We start from the raw sequence: 12,767 nt of genomic DNA, 5'->3' as shown, positions 1-12,767 counted from the left end.
GGCCCAGGGGACCGGTGCTCAGCATAGGGAGGACCCGCACCGGCACCGGTCTCTGAGTTCCCTCAGTATTTATTGATCATTATCTCGACCATCTCGGAGAGGGGGATGTGGCAGGACAGTAGGGTAATAGTGGGGACAGGGTCAGCAGGAAAACAAGTGAACAAATGTCTCTGTGTCATAAACAAGGTTAAGAAAAAGGTGCTGTGCTTTGATACGCACATACATAAACATCTCGGTGCATTAAAGAGCAATATTGCTGCCAGCATGTCTCACCTCCAGCCCTAAGGCGGTTTTCTCCTATCTCAGTAGATGGAACATACAATCGGGTTTTACACTGAGACATTCCATTGCCCAGGGGATGAGCAGGAGACAGATGTCTTCCTCTTTTACTAATCCTCCTCAGCACAGACCCTTTACGGGTGTTGGGCTTGGGGACGGTCAGGTCTTTTCCTTCCCAGGAGGCCATATTTCAGACTATCACATGGAGAGAAACCTTGGACAATACCTGGCTTTCCTAGGCAGAGGTCCCTTCGGCCTTCCACTGTGTTTTGTGTCCCTGGGTACTTGAGATTAGGGAGTGGTGATGACTTTTAACGAGCATACTGCCTTCAAGCATTTGTTTAACAAAGCACATCCTGCACAGCCCTAAATCCATTAAATCTTGACACAGCACATGTTTCTGCGAGCACAGGGTTGGGGGTAGGGTTACAGATTAACAGCATCTCAAGACAAAATTTTACTTGGTACAGAACAAAATGGAGTCTCTTATGTTTACTTCTTTCTACATAGACACAGTAACAGTCTGATATCTCTTTCTTTTCCCCACATTTCCCCCTTCTTTTCGACAAAACCACCGTTGTCATCATGGCTCGTTCTCGATGGTCGCTCTCTTCGGAGCTGCTGGGTACACCTGCAGACACTGTTGATACAGTCTTCAAAGCTGCAAGCAGCATGTTCTCTGGAGTTTGTGTCACCTTTGTGTTCTCTAGGCTTTTTTTTAGCTAACTGTGTCAGCTTCTTTAATTGTGCCCATGTCGGCGGCTCCGCCTTCTTGGTGGATGGCAACTTCATCTGTTCTTCTGACATCACCATTCTGTTCATCTTGTGAGCCGATGGTGCTCGACTGCGGTGTCTCTGTCTCCGTGGAGGTGCTTTTCTTTGCATCTCCGACGGGTTCATTGTAGAACTTCAAATGTCACAAGGCTGACTGTAGACGTACTCGGGAATCTCGTCGACTTGTCCTCAATGATCATGCTCGAGCATACCTTCAACCTAGAGAAAAGCACCCACGTTGGGCACCAGATGAAGGGGTGGCCTGCCCCTCCACACCTGTGGGTGTTTCCAGTCGGGTGGGACGAGAGACTGAGAAAAGAAAGAGACACAAAGTATAGAGAAAGAAAAGTGGGCCCAGGGGACCGGCGCTCAGCATACGGAGGACCCGTGCCACCAAGAATTCAGATTATTTGCCAACATTGTGAAATGAATTCATGCAGTTGTGAGAATATGCAAAATGTAGAATTTATTACTCATCAATGCAAGCAATTTTTTCCAGGTTGGCACTGGGCCTTTCAAATGTAAAACTGATAATTTTTAATATGGTCACACGAAGCTTGTTATTTCAGTGATAAGCTGTGGAGAGTTGATAGTTGACTCTAGCTAAAATCTTGCCAGACACTATGTTGTTTGACATTAGCTAAATGATTATACCAATGATGTGTTCAGGGCTTGAGGCAAAACAAAATGTCATCTTATTATTTTCCTTGAATTTCTAGAGCTTAGTTTTTAAAGTTTAGATTTTGAACAAGTTGTCATTTAAAAATGTTTTCCCTGTTTTTACAGTAGTCTTCAGTATGTGGACAAGTAAATGAACCAAGGAAACAAAAGTGGTCAAACGTGTCTCAATATTTCTTGAGCTCTAATATCCAATTTAAAGCAATAGTTTTAATCTGAACACCTGAAAATAAAAATGAGACATAATGATATATCTGTATCTTTTCTGAGGTCATCCACTGAATATTTCAGCTCCTATAAAGTTCTATAGGGTTTTAAATGATTTGTTAGTAGTTACTGTGGCTTCAACATAAAAGCAACATATTTAGGGGAATCACTTTAAACAGTGAAGTCAAAGGAAACATGTATTACAACAAAAACACTCTTTATGCAATTCAATAGACCTCTTTATTAATTTCTCCTACAGTTCTTGACGTTTATATTACATCTGTTATTTTAGTGAGATTTTAATATTTCATACTCCATTCATATATAAAGAATTTCTACTCAAATGCTTAAAGTATCATTCATGTTGGCCATTAAAAAAGAATCTTATTAGAAAAATCAGATTATTCTTTTCAGGTTGTCTTAAACCTTAAGTTTCTCAATATTAGCAAAGCTATTTCTGTCAAAAGTAGAGTAATGTTGATTAAAAACATAAGCTACCTGGGTAAACATGAGGATCTAGCTGTGAGGAATTAGCTGGGGGTTCTGTAGTACTCAATGCCTATTTTAGAAAAAGGATCCAATCAATAACCTCAACTGCTAGGTTAAGGAACAAAAGCAAATTAAACCCCATGTAAGCAGAAGAAAAGAAATAAAGATCAGAGGGGAAATCAGTGAAACAGCAAATTTATAGAGAAAAATCAGTGAAACCATAAGCTGGTTCTTTGGGTTGATCGAAAGTTGACAATTACTTTTGCACCAACCTATATAAATTTCAAGCTTTAACAGCAGAAGGGTCAATTTCTATGTTTAATCAAAAATAACTGTCTATGGGACTATTGAGCTGGTTTCAACAGCATTATCCTGATACAAAAACTACAGATTAATTCATCAATTATGAACATAGAAACAAGTACGCTAAGTTTTATCAAATCAAATCCAACAATATATAAAAAGAAAATGTATCAGGATCAAGTGGGGTTTATCCTAGGAATTCAGGCTGTTTTCACCATATTAATAAGTTTTTAAAAAAGCCATTTGATCATCTCAGTAGATTGAGAAAAAGATTTGACAAAATCCAAAATCCATTCTTGATTAAAACAAAATACAAAGCAACCCCCCACTAAGTCTCAGTAAACTAGGAACAGAAAAAAAACTTCCTCAGTGCATTTATGATATACAGCTAACGTCATTACTTAATCATGCAAGACTGAATGCTTTCCACTTAAGATCACAAACAAGGCAAGAATGTTTGCTCTCATCACCAGCACAGTACGGCAGAATTTGACCAACTTTTTCTGTCAGTCTCTGTGGCAACTACACAACTCTGCCATTGTAGCATGAAAGCAGGTATAGACAGTGCATAAAGAATAAAACTGTCTATAAGTTCGCTGACTCATGCAATAACATAAGACAAAGAAATAAAATGTATTCAGATTGGAAAGAAAGAAAATCATCTTCATTTACAGAGGAGTTTGTCTATGTAGAAGACAATGTTGTGAAATCAACAAAAAAGCTACTAGAATAAGTGAGTTTAGCAAGGTAGCATGATAAAATTAAAATGCAAAAGTCAGCTGTATTTCTATATACTAACAACAAACAATTGTGAACTGAAATTTAAAAAACCATTTATTGCTGAAGTGATTTTAAAAGACCTAAATACATGAATATACATATGGGTCAGAAGGCTCAATATTAACATTGAGACATTGTATTAGTCCGTTTTCATACTGCTATAAAGAACTGCCTCAGACTGGGTAATTTATAAAGGAGAGATTTAATTGACTCACAGTTCAGCAAGGCTTGGGGGCCTTAGGAAACTTACAATTCTGGCAGACGGCAAAGGGGAAACCTTCTTCACAGGGCGGCAGGAAGGAGAAGTGCCCAGTGATGAGGGAAGGGCCCCTTATAAAACCACCAGAGCTCACGAGAACTCACTCACTATCACAAGAACAGCATGGAGGAAACTGCCCCATTATTCAATTACCTCCATCTGTTCTCTCCCTTGACACGTGGGGATTATGGAGATTACAATTCAAGATGAGATTTTGGGTGGCAACACAGCCAAACTACATCAGATGTCAACTCCATAAATCTGATCTACAGATTTAATGCAAACTCAATAAAAATTCCTGCAGTTTCTTTTGGTAGAAATCAATAGCTGATTCTAAAATGTACACTGAAATGCAAAGAATCCAGAATAGCCAAAGTCACTCTGAAAAAGATTAAGAAAGTTGAGGACTCATTCTGTCAGATTTCAAGACTTAATTATTATAAGGTTGTAGCCATTAAGACAGTATGGTGTTAGTGTAAAGATGGACAAATAGAAAAATGAATCAAAACAGAATTAAAAAAACAAAGCACCATTGACTGATAATCAGTTGGTTTTTGACAAAGGTGCAAAGATAATGTAGGATAGTCCTTTCAACAAATGGTTCTAGAACAATTGGATTTTTACCACAAGGAAAAAAGTGAACTTTGATCCAAACTTTGATTACATACAAAATTTAACCCCAATGGATTACAGATCTAAATTAAAACTGACCACATCCACTGAGGGTGTGGAACAATTGGAACTTTTTTTGACACAGGGTCTCACTCTGTTGCTCAGGCTGGAGTGCAGTGGTGCAATCTTGTCTCACTGCAATCTCCACCTCCTAATTCAATTGCTGTGCCTCAGCCCCACCCGGAGTAGCTGGGATTACAGGTGCACCACCACACTTGGCTAATTTTTTGTATTTTTGGTAGAGATGGGGTTTTGCCATGTTGGCCAGGCGGGTCTCGAACTCCTGGCTTCATGTGATCCACTCACCTTGGCCTCCCAAAGTGCTGAGATTACAGGCGTGAGCCACTGCACCCAGCCTGGAACTCTTACAAACTGCCACTGGGAATATAAAATAGCACAACCACTTTGTAGAACACTAGAAATTTCTTAAAAACTTAAAACATATGAATCAGACATTCCACTCCTGTAATTTACCCAAAAGAAATGAAACCATATGTTCATACAAAGATTTGTATGTGAATATTCATATTAACTTTATTTGTAGTAGCTCCAAATTGGAAACAACACAAGTCCATCAACAAGTGAATGGACAGTGTCAGATCCATACAAAATACTACTACTAAGCAATTTACAGGAATGTACTGATATCTGCAATAACATAGATACATCTCCAAATAATTATGCTGAGTAGAAGTAAAATGAAAAGTACATATTATATGATTCCATTTATATAAAATCATTAAAAAACTATAAACTAATCTATGGTGACCAGTGCTTGTCTGGAGTTGGTGGGTGGTTGGTGTTTGGGGAGGAAAGGATTACAAAGGAGCATCTTTTGGGAGGGATGAATATGTAGATTATATCTTGTTACGATTTCACAATAAATATATTTGTCAAACACCAAATTGTACACTTTGAATATGTATAGTTTATTGTGTCAAATATACCTTAAAGCTGTTTAAAAAGTTTAGTAAAGATCTATGAAAAGCTATTTTGTTTCACCAGAGGAATTAATCAAACATATCTCTCAATTTACCTCTTTGAAATTTGGTTTTACACTTTTAGATGTTAATAAGTCACTATATAAGCTCCCATTTTGAAAAAGAAAAATATATTTCACTTAAAACTGTGGCCAAAATTTCCATGTAAAAACCATTGCAAAACAAATCCAAAATATTGTTCTGTTTCTCATAGAGGGCTCATTCTCATTTCTACAGTCAAGTATGTTGATGCTCATTTACTTATGCAATTAAGCCAGATATAAAAATGTAGGTGCAAGTATAAACCTGTTAGCCGCCCTTAAGTTTGTTATCTAGGCCTCTGAAATCCTATTGGCTCACTTTAATATTTTTCCTATGCTTTTACTGTTTGCCTCTGGACAAGTTCTGGCAGTGAATTTTATGTTTGGTCTTCTGATCTTCAACTATCAAAGGGAAGAGATGAAAAAGATGGACAATCTTTTCAAAACTGTTAGCAGTAGGCAATTCTGTTTAAGAATGAGCAGTAATACATTACATTATACATTTAAGAATCTTATTGAAACCTTAAAAAAATTATATTTTTATTTGACTTCCAATAAACTAGTTAGCGTTCTAGGCAGCATACAAAGTTTCTGTTAAATTTTAATGGGTGTTATTTCTAATAAAAACTATGTAAATATAGATAAAATAGAGACAAGCTTAAGATGACTGACCACAAAATACTATTTTTAAATGCTAACAGGTTAAATCCATTCAGGAAAACTTAAATTCTACTTTTGCTGTTTCTTACTCCCTGAATGGCACTTTTTTTGCTGGGGGCAGGGAGTAGCAGTAGATAGTTGCCATTGTCTCTACCTCCTCATACTAATTCTTTTTAATTAAAATGTCCAGTAATGCTCTGAAAATCATTTTTGGAACATTTAACTATTCAGTAAAAAGATTAAAAATGACTTAATAAGTATACTTTTCTAAATGTAATAAAAATTATATTCTACACTGTACTTTCATAGCACTTCTAGTTTAACATGAAAAATTTCAGGGTGCTTGCTGAAATGACAAAGCACTTTGGTATGGCTATCCTATGCTAAAATTCTTTCCTTTGAAAATTCAAACTCAGTATTTCTAAAAAATCAGCAAAAGAAGTACACTATCTGGTATTCTCTCTTCAACAGAAGTTCACCTTATTTAATCTTGTATTTCTTCGTATAATTGTACAGATTACATAATCAAACTGGGGGGGGGGATGACATCTGAACAAGGAATATTTGGCTCTTAATTTTTAGGATTTTATTGTAGTTTATCCCTTATTAGCGATAGTTGATTGAAATTAATTGCCAAATGCCTCTCTGGTGAGTCATATTCCGCAATTTTGAAATAGGGAGGTCAGCTAACTCTGTGTGGAAGGGAACTGTGCTACCTTTTAAAAGTGTTATATTTTACATTAATGCATTCAGAGTGATTTAAAAGGCATTCAACATGATTATTCAATATCAAGAATATTTTGTTATCTCTAGCTATAGAAGTCTTTGAGATTCTCCCTTTCTTTTACATGCACATGACACTCACATGTAAAGAGTGAAAAGTACATTTATGTACTTGCCCAGAAGAAACCTTTGATTTTGTGCAAATGGATTATCAAGAGAACTGATTCTTTAAATGATATTCACTTGTTCCTTGCATTCCTGTATTTTTAGATAGTATTATTTTTGTACAGTAGCATGCTGTATATGAACACAGAGGTATATAATCATTAGCATGCTATAGAACTATGTTACTGTGAATCCCCCCACAGCCTTTTAAACATTATGAGGTGGTAGTTCACTTTTTCTCATCTTCTTATAGACAACTCATATGTGTTAATACTTCTGTCTCTTCTAATATTGATTCTGCTTTCGTTTTTTTAATAAAGGGTAAACCTTCACCCTTTATACAAATTTTTTTTTTTTTTTTTTTTTTTTGAGACGGAGTCTCGCTCTGTCGCCCAGGCCGGACTGCGGACTGCAGTGGCGCAATCTCGGCTCACTGCAAGCTCCACTTCCTGGGTTCACGCCATTCTCCTGCCTCAGCCTCCCGAGTAGCTGGGACTACAGGCGCCCGCCACCGCGCCCGGCTAATTTTTTGTATTTTTAGTAGAGACGGGGTTTCACCTTGTTAGCCAGGATGGTCTCGATCTCCTGACCTCATGATCCACCCGCCTCGGCCTCCCAAAGTGCTGGGATTACAGGCGTGAGCCAGGGCGCCCGGCCAAATTTTTTTTTTTTCTTTTTTTTTGAGATGGAGTCTCACACTGTCACCCAGGCTGGAGTGCAGTGATGCAATCATGGCTCACTGCAACCTCGAACTCTTGGGCTCAAGCAATCCCAAAGTGCTGGGATTACAGGCATGTGCCACTGCATTGGCTTCACCTATCATACCATTTGGATTGTTATACATGTCATCAATCAACAACTACCTAATAAACCTGCCAATTAAATAATTCTTAGTTGTTATCCCTAATGTGAATTAAATATATACAAATATTTAAATATAATAATTAAAGAGAACTATTTGCTGCCAAAAACCTTCTTGGAAGAGAGAACAGGGGTGGGAGTGGTGTGGGTGTCAAGGTATAGATGGAATCTCCTGTACATAAGGCATATCATACATCTAAGAGTCCTTAAAAGCTGCATTTTAGATAGTTGAGGCTTTGCCCTTCCATTTAGAAGGTTGCTCTGGGAAAAAGTATTAAAAAAGACCAAGTAATTTAAAAATGGCCATGATTAGCTTGAACTTGATTATATACTTCTTCTTAGTCCTAGTTTTTCTTAAAACTAGACTGAAGATATCAGTGGTATCTGACAGGCTGACGATATCAGTGATTAAGTTTCTTCCCTACAGGTGTAGAAATAGGTCTGGAGTGTAAAATAATAATTAACCACAAATATACACAATTATCTATTCAATCAAAAAAAATTTTTTTTAAGTAAATTAAAATTTTTCTTTTCCTTCTAAGGTGAGTCATTAGTGCAATAAGTGTAGGAATAGATAATAATTCCAAACATATCTGAAGAAAATGGTCCATGGAGTGAATCACCAATGTAGTTAATTAGTCTGTATACAACTGACAATGTATCTCCACAAATTATCTAGTTTTTCAATGAAATATTCTCAAAATCAATTTATCAAAGAAGATTTAATCATCCCCTTCCCTGCTTTTTTTTAAAGAGATAAGGTCTCAACTATGTGCCCAGGTTGGAGTGCAGTGGCTGGTCACAGATGCAATCACAGTGCACTGCAGGCTCAAACTCCTGGGACCAAGTGATCCTCCCGCCTTTGAATCCAGAATACCTGGAACTACAAGCACATGTGATTGCACCTGGCAGATTTAGTTACTAAAATTTTTACTTTCAGTACCTATTCAGCACCGTGTAAAAATTCAGGAATGAAGATTCCTAACACATTGGATTCTACTTCTCATGCATTACATTTCTCTTTTAAGTGAAATATGTCCAATATATACAATAATGCACAATCATGAAGTGATCCATATAATTACTATATTATATACTATACTTCTAACTTGAGAGGTTTTAAATACTTTTAATTATAAATTCTTTGATATATTTCCATACATGCTGTAAAAACAAGGTAATTCAAAATACGTAATCATCAGTTAAATATGGTAACATAAAAAAATTCTTAAGTCATATTGATGATCTTTGTCACTGAAATATACAGTTTCCTAAGACTTAGATAAAAATATAGTTTAAAGGAGTCACAGGTGAAATGAAACACATTTGGAATGAAGCTGATATACGGTCCTTTGAAAACACCCTAGAGATTAATTGGCAAAAAAAAGTAGTTAGTATTTCATTGTCTTTTGGTTTATAATATAAGGCTAACTACATAGGAATCAGGAAACTAAGTCCTGATGCTTAAGTCCCATAAGGACTAGTTAATTTTACATGTATCTGTTTGAAAACCAGATCAGCTGTAACAGAAATGTATGCCTCTGGGGACTGAGTACAAAATAACCACCTTTGTCTGAAAAATGTCCATCATATTATCTTCACAAAGAAAATCTTTATTAAAAAAAAAACTCACTCAATGAAACTGAATGTAAAATACTGGAAAGTCTAATTGAAAAGGCATCTTTGTTAATGGTCAGGAACTTACTAGTTCTGCCTTATATAGTTGTGATTTTCTCATTCTAACATGTATACTCAAATCAGGCTGAGACCATGTCTTAAACTGTCATATAGTTCATGCAATCTATAGTGCCCAATACAAGTGCTGTACATGTGGCAAAGCACACAATATTAATGAAATTAATGAAAACGAATCTCCTTTTCTTTCGACATTAACAAAGAGTAACAATCAAAAAATACAACATTAAAAGGAGAAAATGTGAAAATACATTTTGTACTATTATTTCATTTGGGTTTGTTTCTAAAGTACTATAAAATTTTGCAGATGTTGTCAGATTCTAGTTAGAGTTCAGCTTCTCGTAATTTCTACTAATTGAAAAGTAAAGTGTTATCTTTATTCTCAGAGAACACCTATCATCAGTAAGATATATGCTTAAAAATAGAGACAAAAACCCAAAACACAAGATTTTGGGAGTTTATCCTCTCATCTGGTATGCCTTGAAACGAATTTATTACAACATATACCTGAGTTCATATGATATGAATGGTGTGCTAAGTACCTAGAAGCATTAACATAATATTGTATGTGGATATATATATGTATCAGCATCACAGTCTTATACTTAGGTAGAAATCTCTTCTGTGATTCTGAAAGTTCTTTATACAAAGTTAACTACCCAGAACAAGAAGAGAACTCATATAATAATTCTACTAATTATCTGTATGAACGTCTGCCGTAAGTTCCCTTTGTCCACTTTATGTGTTAAAACCTGATAGATGCAATGCTTTCTCAATGATCTGATCCTGTAATCTCACTGCTATCACATTCTGAATCACTTAACGGTCAGCGCTGAATAATACACATTAGAAATATATTGTACCATTATACAATTTATATCAGTCCATTTATATCAGTATGATGGGCTTACAGCATCTGATATACCATCTGTGCAAAAATAAGGTAAAATTCACAATGTAACTTCAGTCATGCACCGCTTAACTAAGGGATATGTTCTGAGAAACACATTGTTAGGTGATTTCAGTTGTGTGAACATCATAGTTACATAAACCTAGATGGTAAAGCCTACCATCTACCACTATATGAAATATATGAAATAACCTATTTTCCTAGGCTGCAAACCTGTACAGCATGTTACTGTACTGAATACTGCAGGCAATTATGACACAATGGTATTTGTGCATCTAAACATAGAAAAGGTAAGGTAAAAATACAGGTACTATAATCTTATGGGACCCCTTTGTATATGTAGTTCAGAGGCAACTGAAACTTCGTTACGTGACACATGACTGTATTTTAAATTTAGAAAGATTCTGGCAAACATGGGATCACTATAGGCTGTAATGGTTATTTATATATAAATGGGTTTGGAAAAGTAGAGCCAATTTCAGATTAACTGTACCAATACTGAGTAACTATACTGAGAATACAAAAATTATTTCTTTAAACCTCTGAAATGTACTATAATTTTAGAAGCAGATTTATTTTTGTACTTTGATTGTCTCAGATTAAAATACTTTTGCATTCTCTGTGCACGTATTGTCTTAATAATGGAAGAAATTTCAGGGCAAGGTAGAGGAAGGCCACCCAGTAATTAAAGACTTGCAGGTATAAAAAATTACCTCCACATTGAACCATTTTGCTTTATATCTATACACTTACTAAAAAACACCTTGACTTTTGAGATCACATTATTTGCTGTAAGATAATACTGTTTTAAACACACCTAAAGTCTTTCAGCATCCTTTTGTTTATATGGCCCTACTTTATATACAGGATAAAAAAAAAAGCCCCCAAACTTAAGGTCGAAAGCAAGGGTGTCCAATCTTTTGACTTCCCTGGGCCACACTGGAAGAACTGTCTTGGGCCACACATAAAATATACTAACACTAGCGATAGCTGAGATTAAAAAAAAAATTGCAAAAAAAAAATATCTCATGTTTTAATTAAGTTTACAAATTTGTGTTGGGCCACATTCAAAGTCATTCTGGGTGGTATGTGGCACACGGGCCTCAGGTTGGAAAAGCTTGGTCTGAAGTAAATGAATTCTAACTTTTATTTATAAGATAAATTCTTAGAAAATGTTTTAGATGACTTCAAAATAGAAAAAAGGTTTAAGCTCTTTAGACTATTCTGAAAATGTTTCATTATTAAATAATGCAGTAAGTACCATTTAAACTTTCACAAAAAAATGGAACAAATCTTTCATGAATAAACTTTAAAACTCAAGCTTTTTAAAAAAATATATAAAGTATATATAGGAAGTATTTAAGTACACTTTCATTGTAGCTGGAAATAAACTTGGCTCCTGATGTTCTATATTTAAAAACTGTCAGTTGTATAGTACTAGTACTAAACAGCTAGGAAGTCAATTTCTTTATCAACTTTGATGTTATCATTTGACAAGATTTGCAATCATAAATTTCTTAGGCTTTACAACTTAGAAGTACGTTAGTGATCATTCAGTCTTTTTTTTTTTTTTTTGAGATAGAGTCTTGCTCTGTCGCCCAGGCTGGAGTGCAGTGGCATGATCTTGGCTCACTGCAACCTCTGCCTCCTGGGTTCAGGCGATTCCCTTGCCTCAGCCTCTTGAGTAGCTGGGATTACAGGCATGCACCACCATGCCCGGATAATTTTTGTATTTTTAGTAGAGATGGGGTTTTGCCATGTTGGCCAGGCTGGTCTTGAACTCCTGACCTCAAGTGATCCGCCTGCCTTGGCCTCCCAAAGTGCTGGGATTACAGGTGTGAGCCACCATGCCCGGCCAGATCATTGAGTCTTAACCTTAATACGCAAATAAAGAAACTAAGATTCAGAGATTTAAAAATCATATAATTTATCGGAGGCAGAAATGAGATTAGGGTCCAGCTCACCTGACATTTTAGTGCTGTTATCTTAGTTGCCTTAAAATCCATTTATATTCGCAAATAACAAAAGCAACATATTATTTGAAAATACAAAACATAACAATAAAAAAGGTGTAGCTAGTACTAAATATGTCATTAGCAAATTGTGTCCATTTTAAATGTATTATCACCCTAATTTTTCAGGGGCTCTTAGTGCCAAAGACCCTCAGCCCAAAGTTTTCTGGTGAATTTGTTTATACTTACAGTAGTATGTACTATTTTAACACCATGAATCTCAACAAACAATTCTTAAGCATTACTTGATTCAACTGCAGGTGATATTTAATTTGGTTG

The 12,767-nt window shown here is 35.8% G+C and overlaps 1 protein-coding gene across 1 annotated transcript; it reads right to left on the bottom strand.

The window, feature by feature from the left end:
* Positions 1 to 756: 756 nt before the first annotated feature.
* LOC124907920 (uncharacterized) lies at positions 757 to 1,275 on the bottom strand. Its single transcript, XM_047446761.1, has one exon. It carries the CDS (start codon positions 1,177 to 1,179, stop codon positions 772 to 774), a length of 408 nt encoding a protein of 135 aa, XP_047302717.1. The 5' UTR covers positions 1,180 to 1,275; the 3' UTR covers positions 757 to 771.
* Positions 1,276 to 12,767: the final 11,492 nt, after the last annotated feature.

The sequence above is a fragment of the Homo sapiens genome, chromosome 2 (assembly GCF_000001405.40).
Source record: "Homo sapiens chromosome 2, GRCh38.p14 Primary Assembly".
NCBI lineage: Eukaryota > Metazoa > Chordata > Mammalia > Primates > Hominidae > Homo > Homo sapiens.
The sequence above is the reverse complement of the archived record's forward strand: the minus strand, read 5'-3'. Positions and strand labels throughout refer to the sequence as shown.

Coding starts and splice junctions, on each gene's coding strand:
- LOC124907920 (XM_047446761.1), bottom strand. CDS start 1,179: ATGAACCCGTCGGAGATGCAAAGAAAAGCACCTCCACGGAGACAGAGA.